A 21,987-nucleotide genomic window follows, 5' to 3' on the forward strand; every position below is an offset into this window, starting at 1 on the left:
TAAGGACATTTAATATTTACTTGAGGCTGGACACAGTGGCTCACACCTGTAATCCCAACACTTTCGGAGGCTGAGGCAGGTGGATCACGAGGTAAGGAGTTCAAGACCAGCCTGGCCAAGATGGTGAAACTCCATCTCTCCTAAAAATACAAAAATTAGCCAGGCTTGGTGGTGGATGCCTGTAATCCCAGCTACTCGGGAAGCTGAGGCAGAGAATGGCTTCAACCTGTGAGGCGGAGGTTGCAGTGAGCCGAGATCATGCCACTGCACTCCAGCCTGGGCAACAGAGCTAGACTCCGTCTCAAAAAAAAAAATTTTTTTTGACTTGATAAGCAGTCCAGATGCAGGTGGCCCGAGGGTCAGTGGGGTGGCCCCAGGATGCTATCAAGGGTCTGGCTGTTTCCTTTCCTCCCCTCTGCCCTAGATAGCGAACCTGTCCCCTTCTGCCCATGGGTAGTAAGCCAATCGCTGTTATGATGGATTTGGCAAAAGAAAAGAATTTATTCACACCAACGCAGCCAAGCAAGGAGGCAGGAGAAAAGGTCTCATACTTGCCTCCCTGAAGATGGAATTTAGGGATCTTTATGGAATAAAGGAGCAGGGTGGTCTAAAGTGTGGGAAGAGGTGATTGGAGGCAAGGAAAAGTGAGGTCATTGGCAATCTGCACATACATAGCCAAGCTTCCTGGATCTTCATAGGGTGCATGTTTAGAAAATGGCAGCATTAGCATGATCTCGGGGAGTTTTGGGCCCTCTGACGTCAAAAGGTCACTTCTCCGGCATTTGCACAGGTTCAGTTGAAGGGTCATTGATCTCAACGGGTTCGAACTGGACAGGAGCTGCCCCCATAGTCCTGAAAAACAACTTTAAGCAACCATTACCGTAGTCACATATGTGTCGTAGCGACATATATGTGACATATGACATATATGTACCATAATGACATATAGTGACATATGTAAGGAAGCCGGTGGGGGGGTTAGGTATATATCATTTGGCTGCTTGACTTTTAGCTATATAAGTTTTAAGACCAGCTAGAAGTAAGTGGTTAAAAGCAAGCAAGGCAAGTTAAGTTTGGTGGGCTTCATCAGGTTAGCGTTCGGTTTCGCCATTCTCACGTGAGTGGCTGTAGGAGCTTAGGACCAGGACAGGGGAGAACCGAAGGCCCTAATTATCCTTCCCAGAAGCCTGCCCAAGCGGAGTTTCTCTTAAGGGCTTTCTCTAAGCCCACCAAACTTAACTTGCCTTGCTTGCTTTTAACCACTTACTTCTAGCTGATCTTAAAACTTATATAGCTAAAAGTCAAGCAGCCAAATGATATTTAACTAAACCCTCCACTGGCTTCCTTATATATGTCACTATATGTCATTATGTTACATATATGTCATATGTCACCTATATGGCACTATGACACATACGTGACTATGGTAATGGTTGCTTAAAGTTGTTCTCTTACATTTCATTGGCCCAGAGTAGATGTCATAGCTACCTCCACTTGCAAGAGAGCCTGGAAAAGTATGTGTCTAGCCAAAGCAAATGGGATTCTGTGACTGGCTTCCATCAAGGCAGGGCAGGTTGCCTCCTGGACAAATCAGAGCTCTGGGAGAAAGCGGGAGGGGAAGGTCTACAACCAGTCATGCCCGCTGCAACTCATGGAGCCACATGGAGAGGAGACAACACGGTGAAATTGTCAAGAGCAGGAGCTAGGGCTGAATCTGGAAGGCCACTTACCAGTGCAGAGCTTTGGGTGTGTTGCTTAACCTCCATGTACTCATCTGTAAAATAGAGCTAAAAACAATGTTTCTCTTCCTGGACTGCTGTGACGGTCTAGAAGAGTTTATGCACAGAAAGTGCATTTACATGTAAATGCTCCGTAAATGCTGACTTCTTGTTTGCCTTAATGGCAGAACCCATCCTTCCATATTCCAGAAAAAGACTTGATTTTTAGTTACGTGAATGGACACCTAACCCTGATGGACAGCTTGGGGTCGGGGGACAAGCTTCTTTCTTGGAAGGATGTTCAAAGGACCATGAAGCTTTTGGTTTTGCCAACTGGGGTTTGTAAGTTGAAGAACAGAGCTGAGTAATTCAGGACAGGGGTGTCCAATCTTTTGTCTTCCCTGGGCCACATTGGAAGAATTGTCTTGGACCACACATAAAATACACTTATAGTAACAATAGCTGATGAGCTTAAAAAAAAAATCACACACAAAAAAAATCTCATGTTTTAAAAAGGTTTACAAATTTGTGTTGGGCTGCCTTCAAAAGCCATCCTGGGCCTAATTTGGACAAGCTTGATTTAGGACCTGATGGTCCTCCTTTAGCGGAAGGTGTGTGGAGGAGGTAGAGAGAGAGAGAGAAGAGATGAGACATGAGGAAAACAGAGCCATCTCATAGGGACGTTGATGGAGTCCTGCAGCGTGAATCCCGTCAGCAGTTCTGTAGAGCTCCACCTCGCTTGTCAATGGGTTGTGGGCTTGGATCTTTTGGGAGGATTCAATGACATGCTAAGGGCAGCCTTGGAGGTGGACAAAGGGCCAGGGCAAAGGCCCCCAGGGCATGCCCGCCACCCTTAGGTTACATGGAGGAAAAAGATTGCTGTGAAATACACCAGAACCCTCGGAGTAGAAGTGGCCTCTGCTACACGTAGGTCAAGGTTCTGCATACTTTCATCTTCCTTCTTTGTACTTGTTTGTATTTTCCAAAATTTCTACAATGATTAGGGATCCATTCTATAATCAGATAAAATTGCCATTTACAAACTTTTATTGGCCAGGCATAGTGGCTCATGCCTGTAATCCCAGCACTTTGGGAGGCTGAGGTGGGTGGATTGCTTGAGTCCAGGAGTTTGAGACCAGCCTGGGCAACATGGCAAAACCCCTTCTCTACCAAAAATACAAAAAATTCTCCAGGTGTGGTGGCGCCTCCCTGTAGTCCCAGCTACTCTGGAGGCTGAGGAGGGAGGATGGCTTGAGCCCAGGAGGCAGAGATTGCAGTGAGCTGAGATTGTGCCACTGCATTCCAGCCTGGGTGACAGAGCCAGACTCCATCTCAAAATAAAATAAAATAAAATAAATAAATAAAAATAAAAACTTTTACAAAGAAGAGTATAAGCACTGAAAGTTATTTTTAAAAAGGTTTTACTTGTTAGCTCCATTCCTCAGAAATAGTGCTTCTTCCACATCATTTTCTCTTTCCTTTTTTCTCTGCTGCTTTTTTTTTTTTTTTTTTTTTTGAGACGGAGTCTCGCTCTGTTGCCAGGCTGGAGTGCAGTGGCACGATCTCAGCTCACCGCAATCTCTGCCTCCTGGGTTCAAGTATTCTCCTGCCTCAGCTTCCTGAGTAGCTGGGATTACAGGCGCCCACTACCAACCATGCCCGGCTAATTTTTGTATTTTTAGTAGAGACAGGATTTCACCAAGTTGGCCAGGATGGTCTTGATCTCTTGACCTTGTGACCTGCCCACCTCAGCCTTCCAAACTGCTAGGATTACAGGTGTGAGCCACCACGCCGGCCATTTTTTTTTTTTTTTTTTTTTTTTTTTTGGGAGAAGGAGTCTCACTCTGTTGGCCAGGCTGGAGTGCAGTGGCATGATCTTGACTCACTGCAACCTCTGCCTCCTGGGTTCAAGCGATTCTCCTGCTTCAGCCTCCTGAGAACTGGGGATTACAGGCATGTGCCACCACACCTGGCTAATTTTTATATTTTTAGTAGAGAAAGGGTCTCACCACGTTGGCCAGGCTGGTCTTGAACTCCTGACTTCAAGTGATCCTTCCACCTCGGCCTCCCAAAGTGCTGGGATTACAGGTGTGAGCCACCCCACCCAGCCATTCTCTGCTTCTTTCTCACAGCTAATGATAATAATAGTAAAGGCCAAGGGTGGTGGCTCATGCCTGTAATCCCAGTGCTTTGGGAGGCTGACATGGGAGGATCGCTTGAGGCTAGGAGTTCTAGACCATCTTGGCCAACATGGCAAGATTCTGTCTCTACAAAAAATTTAAAAATTAGCTGAGTGTAGGGGCATATGCCTAAAGTCCTAGCTACTTGGAAGGCTGAGGCAGGCAAATCCTTTTACCCCTGGCGTTCGAAGCTGCAGTGAGCTATGATTGCACTGCTGAACTCCAGCCTGGGTGATAGAGCTAGACCCTGTCTCTAAAAAACATAATAATAGTAGATAGCATTTACTGGGCATTTGACTGTGTAGGTCCCAGGCACTGTGCTTAATGCTTGATGTGCATAATAATCCCAGCAAATAGTACTGCCATTATTCCTATTTAAAACATGACGGCTAGGTGCGGTGGCTCACGCCTATCATCCCAGCACTTTGGGAAGCTGAGGCAGGTGGATCACCTGAGATCAGGTGTTCGAGACCAGCCTGATCAACATGGTGAAATCTCGTCCAAAAAAAAAAAAATTAGCTGGGCCTGGTGGTGCATGCCTGTAATCTCAGCTACTTGGAAGGCTTAGGTAGGAGAATCACTTGAACCCGGGAGGCAAAGGTTGCAATGAGCCAAGATCGCGCCATTGCACTCCAGCCTAGGCAACGAGAGCAAAACTCTTTTTCAAAAAAAAAAAAAAAAACATAAATAAATAATTAAAAATGAGTTAGGTGAGACAGAAAAGGAAGTCACTGTACCATGGCCCTTTGAGCCAGAGTTGTTTGGTGCCAAAACTCTGCCTCCTAATCACTACCTGTCTCTCCTTTTGTCCTTTCTCCATCTTCTCCTCTCTTACCTCTCAAAAATTATCAATAATTTGATAATTCTGTGGTTAGAATCCAAGATTCCTCAACTTCAGTGTGATTGACATGGTGGCTGGCTCACTTTCTGTTGTGGGAGCTGTTCTGTGCACAGTAGGATGTTTAGCAGTGTCCCTGGTCTCTACCCACTAGATGCCAGTAGCAACCACACCCCTCCCCAACACACACTCAATTATAATAACCAAATATGTCTCCAGGCATTGCCAAATGTTCCTGGGGACCAAGATTGCCCTGATGTAGCCTGATCTCTGCAAAAGCGTCTGGAGTCTCTCCAGTTGAACGATCGCTGATAGAAACTCACGGGAACAGTCTGTGCCCTCCCGGCAAGTCCACGCTCATTCGAGGCAGCTGTCACCTGCTAGGACATTCCAGGGCACGACTTGAAAAATGCTTGGCGTGCCTCTGACAACAAGAGATGCAGGCTGAAGCAAGGCATTCCTGCCTCTTGTCCTGAAACTGGGATGCTGGCATTAGAATGGACAGCATGAGTTGTTCTTGAGTGGCAAAAGGCAAGGGGTCCTGCTGTGGTTTGTATGTCTGTCTCCTCCAAATCTCATGTTGAAATTAGTCTGTTCTCGCATTTCTATAAAGAACTACCTGAGGCCGGGCGCAGTGGCTCACGCCTGTAATCCCAGCACTTTGGGAGGCTGAAGTGGGTGGATTGCTTGAGCCAAGGAGTTGGCAACCAGCTTGGGCAACATGGTGTAACTCTATCTCTATTATAAAGAAACAAAAAAATTTTTTTTTGGGACGGAGACTCGCTCTGTTGCCCAGTGCAGTGGCGCAATCTTGGCCCGCTGCAACCTCCGCCTCCTGGGTTCACACATTCTCCTGCCTCAGCCTCCCGAGTAGCTGGGACTACAGGTGCCTACCACCACGCCCGGCTAATTTTTCGTATTTTTAGTAGAGACGGGGTTTCACCATGTTAGACAGGATGGTCTCGATCTCCTGACCTCGTGATCTGCCCACCTCGGCCTCCCAAAGTGCTGGGATTACAGGTATGAGCCACCGTGCCCAGCCAGAAAAAAAAATTTTTAAACAGGCTACCTCAGATTGGGTAATTTATACAGAAAAGAAGTTTAATTGACTTGCAGTTCCACTGGCTGTACAGGAAGCATGGCTGGGGAGGCCTCAGGAAACTTACAATCATGATGGAAGGCGAAGGGGAAGTCTTACGTGGCTGGAGAAGGAACAAGAGAGCAAAGAGGGAGGTGCTACACACACTTAAACAACCAGATCTCGTGAGAACTCACTATCATGAGAACAGCAAGGGAGACGTCCACCCCCATGATCCAATCACCTCCCCCCAGGCCCCTCCTCCAACACTGGGGATTATGATTTGACATGAGATGTGGGCAGGGACACAGATCCAAACTACATCATAGGCCCCAGTGGGAGGTGTTTGGGTCACGGGGGTGGATCCCCCATGAATAGATTAAGCTCTTCCTGGGAGGTGGGGGTGAGTGAGTTCTCACTCTTTTAGTTCCTGGACAGCTGGTTGTTAAAAAAAGCCTGGCACCTCCCCCTCTCTCTTGCTTCCACTCTTGCCCTGTGACTTCTGCACACATGAGCTCCCTTTCACCTTCTATGAATGTAGCCAGCCTGAGGCCCATGCCAAATGTCCCATCTTCCAGCCAGCAGAATCATGAGCCAAATAAACCTCTTGTCTTTATAAAGATATTATTTCCTCTTCATTAAAGAACAGCTTTTCTAAATGTTGGGGGAAATGTCCATAGTCATTACTCAATCAAAACTTGTGTTCCCATAAGCCTAAGGACCATTCTAGATTTTTTACATGTTTTTTTGTGTGTGTGTATCTATAAAATGCATACATAAATTTTTTTTTGTTTTTAAGCATTCACCCAAACAAAAAATCACAGGTAAACCCATATTTCTGAGATGCCATTATTCCGAGCTAAATAAGAGATAATCACTTCAAGGTAAATTGAAAATTTTCCTGAAGCCATACATTTCAAGTGAAATAAGTAATTCTAAATAGGACAATTTAAATTGGATAATTTTAAAGCGTCTATAATTGGTTTATTTGCAAAATTCCTGAAAGGAAAAATTTTATCACTGCCATCACAGCAGGTTTCCACATCCAGATGAGAAAACAAGACAAATGCTAGTGTGTTTTAACTAGCTAAACAAAACTAAGTTAAATGAATATTTAAAAATTTCCCTAGTGGGCCATTCCTTAACAAAATGTTGAAATCCCTGTTGCTACATTGACTAAAAGATCATGTTGAATGGAATATGTAAGACTTGGCTCATAGAAACCTAATCAGATGGTTAGAGATGCTGGCAGTTTAGGACCTGCTGCCATAAATGTGTGAACAACCTTTTGTAATCTAACCTACTGACCTGCATGTTTTTTCTTTACCCCAGCTCATTCCTTACATGTAGCCTCAATCTTCAGTTTGCTTTACTGGTTCAGCAAAAGCCAGGAAGAACAACTTTGTAGTAATCAGAATGTTATCCAACTGTATATTGTTTACTTTATCGTAAATACTGGTGAACAGTGGTTAATAAATAGTTTTATATTCCTTTATGCAAAAAAAAAAAAAAGCACTCAGCCACAGGCATTCCTTGATAGCAACACTCAGGGGACTAAGATAGGGCCCCATGCTGGTATACAGATGGCACTGCTGAAAGGAGTCAGCAGCCCCGGCCCTTGATGGAGACGCTGAGGAACGAGGCAGAAAGATCAGTGGACTCAGACTCCGAAGGGTCGATTTCTAGTTCTGGTCCTGCCCCCATGAGCTGTGTGTACTCAGTTGAGCCTCTTTACCTGTTTCCGCATGAGTAAAATGAAAATATGATTTCTGTCCTCTGGTTTTTCCTAGGATAGTTGTCAGGAGCAAAGTAAGATACTGGCTCCAAGCTGACCCACTACATCCCTTACCTGCTTCAGTCTTCTTTGTAACATCTGAAATATTGTATTTGGGTTTACCTTCTGTCTCTGCTAGCAAAATGTCATCTTCCTGAGGGCTTGGTCTTCTTTGCTGTTGCAAGCCTCAGAGATGACAACAATGCCCAACATAGTAGATGTTCAATAAAGACGTGCAGGCCAGGTACAGTGGCTCACGCCTGTAATCCCAGCACTTTGGAAGGCCAAGGCGGGAGGATCACTTGAGGCCAGGAGTTCAAGACCAACCTGGTAAACAGCAAGACCCCATCTCTATGAAAATTTTAAAAATTAAAAAAAGTATGAGCTGGGCATGATGGCTGCACAGCTGTAGTGCCAGCTACTTCAGAGGCTGAGGTGGGAAGATCACTTGAGCCCAGGAGTTCAGGGCTGCAATGAGCTATGACTGTGCCTTGGGTGATACAGCAGGACCCTGTCTCAAAAAACAAAACAAGAACAACAAAGACAAAGACACGCAGAGTGAATGTGAACCTGTGTATCACGGGGAAGTTATTTGAAGATACATCTCAACAGCTATGGAAATATCAAGCCCTTTGTACACAGTGATTCCACTTCTGAGAATCTAAACCCCAAATAATCCAACATGGAGAAGAAGCCTTAGAGGAACTGATGTTCATCCTGCAGTGGCCAAAATTGCTCAAACCTGAAAAGCCAGCCTTAGTAATCAAGATGAGGGTGTAATTAGCACAATCCCGATGAATCTCATTTGTGAAATTGCAGACAGCCATTACAAATATTGTTTACAGCAAGATGAGTTAATTTTTGTAGCACACACACAAAACCATAATGTGTAATGCAAAATTATAATGTGTAATGCAAAACTAGGTTGCAAAAGCAACCCAATTACTGAGATGACAGGAGCCAGCACCCACTGTCCCCCATGGCCACACTGTTGGTAATGTCACACATGATCTCTCCGGAGGGCAATTTGGAAATTCCTACTACAATGTAAGTGTTCATGCCACTAGACCCAGCAATTGCATTTCTATGAATCTATCCTAGAAATGTATTAGGAAACAACCCAGATGTCTATGAATAGGGGAATAGTTAAATAAATTATAGTTAAATAGATCACTGTATAATCAGCTGAGTGCAGTGGCTCACGCCTGTAATCCCAGCTACTAGCTACTCTGGAGGCTGAAGCCAGAGAATCACTTGAACCTGGGAGGCAGAGGTTGCGGTGAGCCAAGATCACACCACTGCACTCCAGCCTGGGTGATACAGTGAGACTGTCTAAAAAAAATAAAAATAAAAATAAATTTAAAAAATAAAAATAGATGACTGTATATCAATATAATGGTATACTATGCAGCCACTAAATATGTGGAGATTTGCATATACTGATATGGAAAGATGATCAAGACTATTAAAGATTATTAAATTGAAAAAAGCAAATTGCAAAAAATTTTTGTGCAATAACAATGGTGTCATATATGATATTATAAGCATACGCTTTTTTTTTAAATCTGGAGGAGGCTGGGTGCAGTGGCTCATACCTATATCCCAGCACTTTGAGAGGCTGAGGTGGGAGGATTGCTTGAAGCCAGGAATCCAAGACCAGCCGGGCAACATAACGAGGTCCCTCTCTCTACAAAAAACTGTTTAAAAATTAGCCTGTAGTCCCAGCTACTCCGTAGGGGGCTGGGGTTGGGAGGGGTTGTGCAGAGGTGGGAGGATCCCTTGAGCCCAGGAGTTCAAGTCTGCAGTAAGCTATGATCACGCCACTGCACTCCATCCTGGGCAACAGAGCGACACTCTATCTCCAAAAATAAAAAATAAAAAATTAAACATTTTCAAAATAAAAATGTTTTTAAAAAATCCAGAGGAATACATACTAAACCGTTGACAATGATTCTCTCCGAAGGACAGAGGGAGACTTTCCTCTATGTTGTGAATTTCTGCAGTGTTTAAAAAACGTAAACTTTAGCTGAAAAACGAAACTGAATATGCCATATGAACCCACTTATATAAGCAAACCTAAGTCAGGCACATGAAGACTGGAAGGAGCTCTATCGAGGTGTTATTAACAGTGACTGATGGCCAGGCACCGCGGCTTATGCCTGTAATCCCAGCACTTTGGGAGGCTGAGGTGTGCAGATCACTTGAGGCCAGGAGTTTAAGACCAGCCTGGCCACCATGGTGAAACCCTGTCTCTACTAAAAATACTACTAAAAATACAAAAAAAGTTAGCTGGGCATGGTGGCAGGCACCTATAATCCCAGTTACTTGGGAGGCTGAGGCAGGAGAATCGCTTGAACCCGGAAGGTGGAGGTTGCGGTGAGCCGAGATCATGCCACTGCACTCCAGCCTGGGCAACAGAGTGAGACTCTGTCACAAACAAACAAACAAACAAAAAACAGTGATCATTTCTAGGTGGTGGGATAATTGAGCAGTGTTTGGCTTTTTCCTTTTGAGGGAAAACCTCTACAATGAGCATGTATGGCCTCTTCAAAAGATAACCCACCTTTAATAGCTTCTTTGTGTTAACCGGGTGATGCTCAGGGCGTAATGCTCTGCTGATGTAACCTGCTGTTGATGGTGTCCTGTTTCCCCAGGATGGATGACATCCAGCTCTGCAAGGACATCATGGACTTGAAGCAGGAGCTGCAGAACTTGGTCGCCATCCCAGGTAACCATTTGCAACTTCACCTTGTGCTAAACAGGTGCTTGGGGGCCCCCAGCCTGGCCCATCTGTACGCCTGGGTCTGGAAGACAGAGCCTCATTCTTGCAATGCAGTGCTCCCTGACTGCATGTGTCAAACACAACTTCGAGTCAGGAAGACCTGGGTTCAAGTCCTAGTGAATTCTGGTCACCTTCTTGTCCTTGGACAAGTCACTGTACTTCTCTGAGACTCAATTTCTCCTCCTCTGAAAATTGGCTAGTAATAGTAAGAGGGTCTAATTCATTGAGTATAAATATCCTAAAGAGGCTGGGCACGGTGGCTAATGCCTGTAATCCCAGCACTTTAGGAGGCTGAGATGGGTGGCTTACTTGAGGTCAGGAGTTTGAGGCCAGCCTGGCCAACATGGCAAAACCCCATCTCTACTAAAAATACAAAAATTAGCCAGGTGTGGTGGCACACACCTGTAATCCCAGGTAACCGGCAGGCTGAGGCAGGAGAATCACTTGAGCTTGGGAGGTGGAGGTTGCAGTGAGCTGAGATTGTGCCATTGCACTCCAGCCTGGGCAACACAGCGAGACACTGTCTCAAAAAAATATATAATTAAATTAAATTAAATATCATAAAAATCGATGAGATGATGCAAACTAAGTGCTTAGCTTGATATTTGGCCTCAAGAGTCCAGTAAATATTAGCAATTATGACCATTATTATCCTACTTGGGAACAGATGAAGTGTGTACAAACTCTAACTTTGAAGTCACCCCAGATTTGGTAGTTAATAATGCCTGACTTATTTGGCATCTTCTCCAAAAAATTTTCCCCTGCCCATCAGGCTGTGTTAGTTGCCCTCTGTGGGGCTTACCCTTATCAAAATGCTAGTCCCAGGCCAGGCATGGTGGCTCACGCCTGTAATCCCAGCAGTTTAGGAGGCTGAGAGGGCAGATCACTTGAGTTCAGGAGTTTGAGAACAGCCTGGCAAACATGGTGAAACCCCATCTCTAGTAAAAATATGAAAATTAGCCAGGGGTGGTGGCGGGTGCCTGTAATTCCAGCTACTCAGGAGGCTGAGGTGGGAGAATTGCTTGAACCCAGGAGGTGGAGGTTGCAGTGAGGTGAGATCTCACCACTGCACTTCAGCCTGGGTGACAGAGCGAGACTCCGACTCAAAAAAAAGAAAGAGAGAACTGAGTAATTTATAAAGAAAATAAGTTTAATTGGCTCACAGTCCTGCAGGCTGTACCAGAAGCATGATGCTGGTGTCTGCTCAGCTGCTGGAAGGCCTCAGGAAACTTATAATCATGGCGGAAGACAAGGGAGCAGACATGTCACGTGCCCAGAGCAGGAGCAAGAGAGTGAGGCGGGAGGTGCCACACACTTTTAAAAGACCAAATCTCATGAGAACTCACTATCACAAGGACAGTACCAAGGAGGATGGGGCTAAACCATCATGAGAAACCTCCATCATGATCCAATCACCTCTCATCAGGCCACGCCTCCAACACTGGGTATTACATTTCAATATGAGATTTGGGCGGGGACACACATCCAAACTATATCAGAATGGATGCTGCTGATTGGTTGGGGATGCAATCATAGGTGTGTGAAAAATGATTCTCAGGGGTGCTAAGTCCACTTCTGGGTGGCAGGTCCACGTGGATCATCATTCATCAGAAATGCAAAACCTAAAGAGATATCTCAAAAGGCTGATCTTAGATTCTGCAATAGTGATGTTATCTGCAGGAGTAATTGGGGAAGTTGCAAATCTTGTGACCTCTGGAATAATGGCAGTAGTCATTTATGTCTACACCTTAGCAGAATTCAGCCTCCTCCCATCCTTCTAACATGGGGGCCTTTTATTAGCTTTACAAAGGCAGTTTAGTTGGTGGAAAAGGTTATAATCATTTAAACTATAAACTAAATGTCTCCCAAAGCTAGCATGGCCTAAACCTGGGAATGATTAAGGGCAGCTTGGAGGTTAAAGGCAAGATGGGGGTTGGTTAGATCAGATCCCTTTCACTGTCCTAATTTTCTCACTGTTATCATTTTTGCAAAGGTGTTTTCAAATAGGCCAGATAAGCACCCACCATTACCCTTGACTTGAATGTTTTTGCCATGCTGTCAGTTCAATAACTATGTCCCAAGAGGCTGTTCTGCAGCAAGCTCTGAACCTAGGAGCCGGGCTTGCAGTGATGAACAGAGAACGGTTCTCCACTCTCAAGGAGCCCCCAGGTTAGCAGAAAGAGACTGGGCCCAGCACACAGTGGGTGCCCATAAGTGGCAGTTCTTACTGAGCTACAAGTGCAGCATGATGAGCCTTAGAGCAGCGTTTCCCAACCTTCAACTATTGACATTTGGGGTTGACAAATGTCAGTATCTTCCTTTGGGGTTGATCATTTTTTGTTGGGGGTACGGGGCTCTGTGTTGTGTCTTGTGGGATGTTGAGTTTCATCCCTGGCCTCTACCCACTACAGGCCATTAGCACAACGTACCTCTCCGCTACCCCTCAATGGTGATGTTACCTGAAAGGGATCCTGATCCAGACCCCAAAGTTCTTGGACCAAGAGCAAGAAAGAATTTAGGGCGAGTCCGTAAAGTGAAAGCAAGTTTATTAAGAAAGCAAAGGAATAAAAGAATGGCTACTCTGTAGGCAGGGTAGCAGCTTGGGCTCCTCGATTGATTGTACTTATAGCTATTTCTTGATTATATGCTAAACAAGGGGTAGATTATTCATGAGTTTTCTGGGAAAGGGGTGGGCAATTCCCACAACTGAGGGTTCCTCCCCTTTTTAGACCATGTAGGGTAACTTCCTGATGTTGCCATGACATTTGTAAACTGTCATGGCACTGATGGGAGTACCTCTTAGCATGCTAATACCTTATAATTAGCATATAATGAGTAGTGAGGACGACCAGAGGTCACTTTCATCGCCATCTTGGCTTTGGTGGGTTTTGGCAGCCTTCTTTACTAATGCTGTTTTATCAGGAAGGTCTTTGTGACCTGTATCTTGTGCCGACCTCCTATCTCATCTTGTGACTTAGAATGCCTAACCTCCTGGGCATTCAGCCCAGTAGGTCTCAGCCTTATTTTACCCAGCCCCTATTCAAGATGGAGTCACTGTAGTTCAAACCCTTCTGACAGTGACAACCAAAAATGTCTATAGATGTACAGATGTTGCTGAATGTACCCCAAGCGAGGTCAGGGGGGTGTGCAACATTGCCCTATGAAAGGAAAATAAAGTCCCAGGACCCCAATTCACTATACCAAAAGGAAAAGTTAAGCTTGGGAACTATGAGTCATACAAAAACCTACTTTTTTTTTTTTTTTTGAGACGGAGTCTCGCTCTGTCCCCCAGGCTGGAGTGCAGTGGCGCGATCTCTGCTCACAGCAAGTTCCGCCTCCCGGGTTCATGCCTCAGCCTCAGTCTCCCGAGTAGCTGGGAGCCTGTAGGCACCTGCCACCACGCCCGGCTAATTTTTTGTATTTTTAGTAGAGGTGGGGTTTCACCGTGTTAGCCAGGATGGTCTCGATCTCCTGACCTCATGATCCACCCACCTCAAGCCTCCCAAAGTGCTAGGATTACAGGTGTGAGCCACCACACCCAGCCAAAACTGCCTTTCTTTTTTTCCTAAACAGATAGCTGCAAGATAGAAAGGCCACCTATCTTCCCAGGGGCCTCCCTCACCCTGTCAATGTAAATTAACAGCTTATCCTAACAGGTAGGGGACTAAGACAAGACTATAAATCATCGTCCCTCCGCCCACCCGGAGACAAATGCACATTTGACTTCCTCCTCTACTCCGCGTTTCCTTTATCCTATGTAAAATGCAAATTCACTGAGGGCCAGAGAATGCAATCCTCCCCTTCCTGCCCTCTCTTTCCCCTTTAAATATTGAAGTCCTTAAGATCCTCTGCAGAAAAAAGCACAGGCCGGGGATCCTATTGCTGCCTGTGTCTCTTTTTCCCAGGTGCCTCCTCGACTTTGGCAAAATAAACCTCCAGATTGATTGAGACCTTCTCAGACACTTTGCAGCTTACAGCTCCCACATAAGAACTACTACTTTAGTAATTAGAGTGCAGCAATCTGGGTTTGAATTCAGCCTTAGCAGGCAGGTGAACTTCGTGAAAGTTCGCGACTTAATTTCTCTGAGCCTTGAATTCCTTGTTGGGAAAATGAGGCCAATAATACTACCCCCCGCATGGTTGTTGTGAATATCCCATAAATAACAAAGGCAAGGTGTAGGAGTCTTCCACACAGTCTTGTTGTAAGGGTAGTGTGCGCAATGACAGTAGAACTGAATCCTCTAGCTTTCGTGAGCATTTACTAGGTGCCCAGCACTGTGTAGGCCCTAAGGATAAACGAGTGAATAGACTTTCCTAGTTGAAAGAGAGCGACAGCTAGTGGGTATGGGGTTTCTTCTGGGGGTGATTAAAATGTTCTAAAATGGATTGTGGTGATGGTTGCACAACTCTGCAAATACACTTGGAACAGATGAACTGCATGGTATGTGAATCATATTGCAATAAAGCTGTTACCAAAAAAAGTTAAATGTCAAACATAAAACAACGAAGGAATGAGGGAAAAGTACCAAAGTCTATTCTCCACCCACTAGAAACCCCAATGCAATTGATCTGGCATTGTTGGCTTTGGACTCTGGCATTGTAATAGAACTCAACTTGTGATATGGTTTGGCTGTGTTCCCACCCAAATCTCATCTTGAATTGTAGCTCCTATAATCCCCGTGTGTTGTGGGAGGGACCCAGTAGGAGATGATTGAATCATGGGGGACAGTTTCCCCCATACTATTCTCATGGTAGTGAAGAAGTCTCATGAGAGCTGATGGTTTTATAAGGGGTTTCCCCTTTCGCTTGATTCTCATTTTCTGTGCTGCCTGCTGCCAAGTAAGACGTGCCTTTTGCCTTCTGCCGTGATTGTGAGGCCTCCCCAGCCACGTGGAACTGTGAGTCCATTAAACCTCTTTTTCTTTATAAATTACCCAGTTGCGGGTATGTTTTTATCAGCAGCGTGAAAATGGACTAATACAACTAGGGTCTGCTTTCCTGGCACAGTAAGACCAGCTGTCTCCCCAGAGTTTTTGCAGTGGTAAAAAGGAAACAGTTTATTTGCAAGGCTCCAAGCCAGGAGGACTGGGCAGCTAATGCTTCAAGCCTGACCTCCTCAATGGCTTATAGGTAATGTTCTGTCCAACAGGTTCACCTTGCCCTCTGCCTAGACAAACCTGACTTATCAAGACTGGGGAATTACAATAGAGAAAGAGTAATTCATGCATAGCCGGCTGAGGGAGACTGGAGTTTTATTATTCCTCAAATCAGTGCCCCTGAGCATTCCAGGATCAGAGTTTTTAAAGACGATTTGGTGGATGGGGGTGGGGGTGCAGTGAGAATGGAGTGCTGATTGGTTGGGTCGGAGATGAAATCACAGGGAGCCGAAGCTGTCCTCTTGCACTGAGTCAGTTCCTGGGTTGGGGCCACAAGGTCAGATGAGCCACTTTATCTGGGTGGTACCCACTGACCCATCAAGTGCACGGTCTGCAAAATACCTCAAGCATTGATCTTGGTTTTTACAATAGTGGTGTTATCTTCAGGAGTAATCTGGGGAGGGTCAGCATCTTGTAGCCTCCAGCTGCATGATTCCTAAACCATAATTCCTAATCTTGTGCTTAATTTGTTAAGTCCATTTTCACACTGCTGTCAAGAACTGCCCAAGACTGGGTATAACGGAAAGAGGTTTCATTGACTCACAGTTCGGCATAGCTGGGGAAGCCTCAGGAAACTTACAATCATGGTGGAAGGTCAAGGAGAAGCAAGGCACTCTCTTCACAAGGTGACAGGAAGGAGAATGAACGCAGGAGGAACTGCCCAACCCTTATAAAACCATCAGATCTCATGGAACTCACTCACTATCATAATTCCTAATCTTCTGGTTAATTTGTTAAGTCCATTTTCACACTGCTGTCAAGAACTGCCCAAGACTGGGTATAAAGGAAAGAGGTTTCATTGACTCACAGTTCGGCATAGCTGGGGAAGCCTCAGGAAACTTACAATCATGGTGGAAGGTGAAGGAGAAGCAAGGCACTCTCTTCACAAGGTGACAGGAAGGAGAATGAACGCAGGAGGAACTGCCCAACCCTTATAAAACCATCAGATCTCATGGGAACTCGCTCACTATCACGAGAACAGCATGGGGAAACTGCCTGCGTGATTCAGTCACCTCCACCTGGTCTCTCCTTTGACACGTGGGGATGATGGGGATTATAATTCAAGATGAGTTTTGGGTGGCGACACAAAGCCTAACCGTATCACCTACAAATGCAGTCTAGTTCCCAGGCAAGAAGGGAGTTTGTTTTGGGAAAAGGCTGTTATCGTCTTTGTTTTAAATGATAAAGTAAGTTCCTCCCATAGTTAGTTCAGCCTATGCCCAGTAATGAACAAGGACAGCTTGGAGGTTAGAAGCAAGATGGAGTTGATTAGGTCAGATCTCTTTCACTGTCTCTTATAATTTTGCAATGGCGATTTCAGTGCAGGTTTTTAAAGGCAGGGGTAAATTTCAGTCAAGCAGAAGTTACAGGCAAAATTGTAAATCAATACATTGAGATTACATATCAATTTTGGCCTAAAAGGGCTGCATACGTTGAAGCTGGGGCTCACAGGTCATAGGTAGATTGAAAGATTTTCTAATTTGCAATTGGTTAAGGAAGAGAAGCTTTGTTTAAAAATCGGGGGTCAAGGCCAGGTGCAGTGGCTCACGCGTATAATCCCAGCACCCTGGGAGGCCGAAGTGGGCAGATTGCTTGAGGCCAAGAGTTGGAGACCAGCCTGGCCAACATGGCGAGACCCCCGTCTCTACTAAAATTACAAAAATTAGCCGCGTGTGGTGGCGCCTGCCTGTACTTCCAGCTACTCGGGAGACTGAGGCAGGAGAATTGCTTGAACTCGGGAGAGGGGGGTTGCAGTGAGCCAAGATTGTGCCACTGCACTCCAGCCTGGGCGACAAAGCAAGACTCTGCCTCAAATAAATAAATAAATAAAAATAATAAAAATCGGGGGTCAGCAGAAAAGAATGGCATCCCTGGCCCATGGGTGTGACTCCCTCCAGGCCTCTCTGGAAGACACTTAGAACAAGGAAAGATGGTCAGAATTCAGTCCTTAGTCTTCCTTTATCTGACGTCTATATGCCAGTGGATCCATTTGGTAGGGTCCTGGGTTTCTGAAAAACAACTCAGACATATATGCTAAGATGTTTATCTTCAGTTTCTATAGAAAACAAAACATCTCCAGATTCTAACTTCCTTGGCTATTGTTTTAGGCTACTATTACCTTCTTACTGATAAGTTGCTTATTGACTTTTCAAGGCTAGCTAGGTGCCTAGAATTTCCTTTGAGGGAACTCAAGATTTTCCTTTATTTCCATGCTTGGGGTGGGGGTCTCCCACAGACCCCAAAAGGGAGTCCCTGTGTTACTGGTGGAAGGTGTCCAGGTTCTTGGTGTTTTGAACAAAGAATTGGACAAAATGCACACACAAACAAAATAAGCGAGGAAAGAATGAAGCAACAAAAGCAGAAATTTATTGAAAATGAAAGTACACTCCATAGGGTGGGAGTGTGCCTGAGCATAGGGGCTCAGGAGCCCCAATACAGAATTTTCTGAGGTTTAAATACCCTCTAGAGGTTTCCCGTTGGCTACTTGGTGTACACCCTATGTAAATGAAGTAGTGGCCCACAATTAGTCTGATTGGTCGCAGAAAGCTTTTGCAGTTGCTTTCTGCGACCAATCAGATATACTTTCAATTTCTCATGTGACACACAGAAAAGGAGGAGGGTTTGCAAAGGGAGTAGCCTCCAGTCCTTTTGTTACTTATGTGTGGAAAGTTGGGGTTTTTCTTTTGATTTAGTTCTAGGAAGTTGGCCCTAGGTTCCCTGCCTCCAGACCATATTCTCCTGCCTCACCTGATCCATCTCAGCATTAGTAATTTTTTTTTTTTTTTTTTTGAGACAGAGTCTTGCTCTGTCACCCAGGCTGGAGTGCAGTGGCGAGATCTGGGTTCACTGCAGTCTCCGCCTCCGGGGTTCAAGTGAAGTGATTCTCCTGCCTCAGCCTCCTGAGTAGCTGGGACTACAGGCGCCCGCCACCATGCCCGGCAAATTTTGTTTTTGTATTTTTAGTAGAGACTGGGTTTCACTGTGTTAGCCAGGATGGTCTCAACCTCCTGATCTCGTGATCTGCCCGCCTCGGCCTACCAAAGTGCTGGAATTACAGGTGTGAGCCACCGCGCCTAGCCGAGCATTGGCAATTTTTAAAGCTTTGCACCTGATTGTGATAAGCAGGGACGGTTAGGAACCGCCAGGCCTGTTCCCCTCTCTCATTTCACAATTCTCCAAGGATTAGTCTGGCTGAAAGGTACAGAAACCCATCCAAGCTTATGTAAGCACAAAACAAACAATTACTGGAAGGACAGTGGAGTCTCCTGAAGCCCTAGGGCATTACATTCATTTCCCAGAGCTGCCTAACAAATTGGTGCAAACTGGATGGCTTAAGCAACAGAAATGTATTCTCTCTCGGTTCTGGATGTATTCTCTTTCGGTTCTGGAGGCCAGACATCCAAAATCGAGGTGTCAACAGGGCCTTGTTCCCTGCTAAGGCTCTAGAGGAGACTCCTTTGCCTCTTAGCTTCTGGTAGTGTTAGTGAAGTAGTGTTGTTGACTGGGGTAAATACCCAAGGTTCGTTGTCTCTCTCCAAGCAGATTAAGGACACAGACACTGACATACAGAGGAGTGAGTTTAGGAGTGGAGGTTTAATAGGCAAAAGAAAGAGAAAAGGGAACAGCTCTCTCGGTCTCTCTCGAGAAGTCCCTGAATGGGAATTCCGGCCTGTGGCAGACTGCACCAAATTTTATAGACAAGCTTGAGGAGGTGGTGTCTGATTTACATAGGGCCCACAGATTGGTTGGAGCAGGTGTGACGTTTGCATAGTGCATGGGAAGGCTGGCCACCCCACCCTAATCTTATCATGCAAATGAACTTTCCACTTGGGCGGCGCCATGTTGTCTTCTCCTTACTGTACACATGGCTGGCAAAGAGAAGGGAGCGTGGAGCCGCCATTTTGAACATACCTAGACCAGGTGGCCTTTTCCTATGGGCACAGCTGCCAGCATTCACCCGTGTAAGCTTCCAGCTCCCTTGACTATGTCTACAGCTCGATTTTACTGGCTGCTCCTTGTTAGAAAAGAAAATGATTTGGGGGTTGCTTTTCATTAAAAGGAAAACCTTACCGAGGACTTCCTTACCCTATCTGCCTAAATAATTTCTTCTTCACTCCTGTATCATTAGCAGTAGCAAATCCATACGAGTCTGAAGCAACTTGATACTTGCCTCCTCAGAGGAAATAATTCCACCAGCGGGCATAAGGCAGAGTGAGAGACCGAGGCAAGTTTTAGAGAAGGAGCAAAAGTTTATTAACAAGTTTTAGAGCAGGAATGAAAGGCAGTAAAGGACACTTGGAAGACGGCCAAGTGGGTGATTTGAGAGATCCAAGTGCACCGCTTGACCTTTGATTTGGGGTTTTATATGTTGGCATGTTCCGGGGTTTTATATGTTGGCATATTCCAGGGTTTTATGTCTCTCCTCCCTTCATTTTCCCTCAGGGCAGGTTGTGCGCATGCGCAGTGGCCTGCCAGCGCTTGGGAGAGGCTGCAAACACAGTGTATTTACAGAAGTCATGGGCCTGATTATTTGAGATGTTTTTCCCTCACCAGTTGAGTGTTCCTAGAGGAAGGTCATATACCAGTTAGACTCCGCCATTTTGCCTCTTAATGTGCATGCTTGAGCCCAGTTGCCCAACTCCTGAGATCTCATCGGGAAACCGCTGATAACTTCAGGTGTTTTCTGTCTGTTGGGAGATGGCCTTTCCCTGGCACCAGCTGTGACCAATTATTATTTTAGAGAGACAATTTTAACAACTGCCTGACATCACCTGATGGTTGCCTGGCATTCCTTGGGGGGGAAATCCCCTCTCCTTTCTTGCTCATGGCTGCCTGGCTACCTACTCTAACAGTAACACACACAATTCTTGGCATTGCTTGCCTTCTGGTTGCACCACTTCAATCTCTGCCTCCATCTTCACGTGACCCTGTGTGTGTCTGTGTGTCTTCTCTTCTCCTCTTTTTTTTTTTTTTTTTCTAAAAGACAGGGTCTGGCTGTGTTGCCCAGGCTGGTCTAGAACTCCCAGGCTTAAGTGATCCTCCTGCTTCAGCCTCCCAAGTAGCTGGGATTACAGGTTCAGGCCACCATGCTTGGGTCTCTTTCCTCTTCTCATAAGGACACAAGTCATTGGGTTTAGGGTCCATGCTAATAAGTATGACCTCATTTTAGCTTAACTATTATAATTACATGTGCAAAGCAACTTACAAATTACTTTGGAAATAGAGTATTTCCAAATAGAAGAGATATAAACTGGGGAAAACTATTTCCAAATAGGGCACACATGAACTTTGGGGGTGCCTTAGTCTCTGTGGCTTGCTCTAGACCGGGGGCTTGTAAACAACATTTATTACAGTTCTGGAGGCTGGGAGGTGCAAGATCAAGGTGTTGGCAGATACAGTGCCTGGTGACGGCCTGTTCCTTATAGATGGTACCTTCTCACTGTGCCTTTGTGTGGTGGAAGGGGCAAACAAGCTCCCTTGGGTCTCTTTTATAAGGGCACTAATTCCATTCATGAGGGTTCTACCTTCATAATCTACTCACTTCCCAAAGGCCTCATTTCTTAATACTATGACCATGGAGGTTAGGATTTCAGTGGGTGGCACCTGTAGGCAAGTGGAAGATGATGGGAAAGGTATGTGGCACACACGCACGTGAGCAGCATTGGCCAATGACTTGGAGACTTGGGCTAGTCATAGGTCTGTGAGCTGACGCAGGCCACTTGTGTGAGTAGGTGGTTTCTCCTGGGAGTTGCTGCAGCTGAGGCTGGGGAATGCCTCTATTGGTGAGTGACAGAACACATGGATGAATGGCTTGGAGACAGAGGTTTGCAGATGTTGGGGGCCCAGCCAGTTGTTGGGTGATTCTGGCTAAGATCTAGAGAGCAGTGGAGGGCACTTGGGAATGTCAGAGTGCTGTCAATGGTTATTTGGAGAGTAAAGTCACACCACGAGCTCCTGAGTGAGCAGGGGTCCTGGTGAGTCGATGGGTGTTGGTGCGTGCTTGGAGAGGGCAGGGAGCGGCTCTGCGGTGCTGACGAGTGATTTGGGGAATCAGACCCAACCCACAAGATTTACCACGGCAGGAGCAGTGACACCATCATCCAATGCACCAATGGCTGGGAATGGGGAGCGGCTGGCAAGCCTATTGCCCTTCTTCGTGCAGTGGTGGACTCCTGGTTAATGAGAGAAACCAACTTTCTGTCCTATCCAAATATTATGTTCTCCTTACCCCTGGTTCTGCTTCCAGATCCAGAAAAAATGATCAACGTCAGTCGTGGGCAGGCAGACAAGCTGTCCCACATTTTTTATTCTGAAGGGATTTGAGCAGAAAGAGCCCAAGTGGGTTTAAGTTTTTGCCTCTTAATTTTCTCAAACCTCATCTTCAGCCCTCTCTCTTTTTTTTATTTTTTCTCTTTGGCATCCTAGCACTTGGTGTTTGGGACAGGGTTAGTGTCATTGGC

The 21,987-nt window shown here is 45.7% G+C and overlaps 2 protein-coding genes across 3 annotated transcripts in view, besides 2 other annotated features; both read left to right on the forward strand.

The window, feature by feature from the left end:
- MPV17L-BMERB1 (MPV17L-BMERB1 readthrough) overlaps nt 1-21,987 on the forward strand; it is a 192,506-nt gene that overhangs the window by 161,987 nt on the left and 8,532 nt on the right. The window contains exon 3 of the mRNA NM_001414674.1: nt 10,243-10,316. Coding sequence (NP_001401603.1) covers nt 10,243-10,316 — 74 coding nt within the window. The remainder of the gene's footprint in view (nt 1-10,242; nt 10,317-21,987) is intronic.
- Nucleotides 1-21,987, forward strand: part of BMERB1 (bMERB domain containing 1) — a 153,672-nt gene that overhangs the window by 123,153 nt on the left and 8,532 nt on the right. For both annotated transcript variants that reach the window (NM_033201.3, NM_001142469.2), the window contains exon 3: nt 10,243-10,316. In NM_033201.3, coding sequence (NP_149978.1) covers nt 10,243-10,316 — 74 coding nt within the window. The remainder of the gene's footprint in view (nt 1-10,242; nt 10,317-21,987) is intronic.
- Nucleotides 5,952-6,246: an enhancer, noted in NCBI's record as "tiled region #9672; HepG2 Activating non-DNase unmatched - State 18:Pol2, and K562 Activating DNase unmatched - State 5:Enh". NCBI's record gives its function as "activates a minimal TATA promoter and a strong SV40 promoter by Sharpr-MPRA in HepG2 and K562 cells {active_cell/tissue: HepG2 | K562}" and the evidence as "EXISTENCE:reporter gene assay evidence [ECO:0000049][PMID:27701403]".
- Nucleotides 21,406-21,906: an enhancer, noted in NCBI's record as "H3K27ac hESC enhancer chr16:15673003-15673503 (GRCh37/hg19 assembly coordinates)". NCBI's record gives its function as "activates a minimal SCP1, AML or CMV promoter by ChIP-STARR-seq in naive H9 embryonic stem cells {active_cell/tissue: H9 hESC(naive)}" and the evidence as "EXISTENCE:reporter gene assay evidence [ECO:0000049][PMID:30033119]".

This window comes from Homo sapiens, chromosome 16 (genome assembly GCF_000001405.40).
Source record: "Homo sapiens chromosome 16, GRCh38.p14 Primary Assembly".
Lineage (NCBI taxonomy): Eukaryota > Metazoa > Chordata > Mammalia > Primates > Hominidae > Homo > Homo sapiens.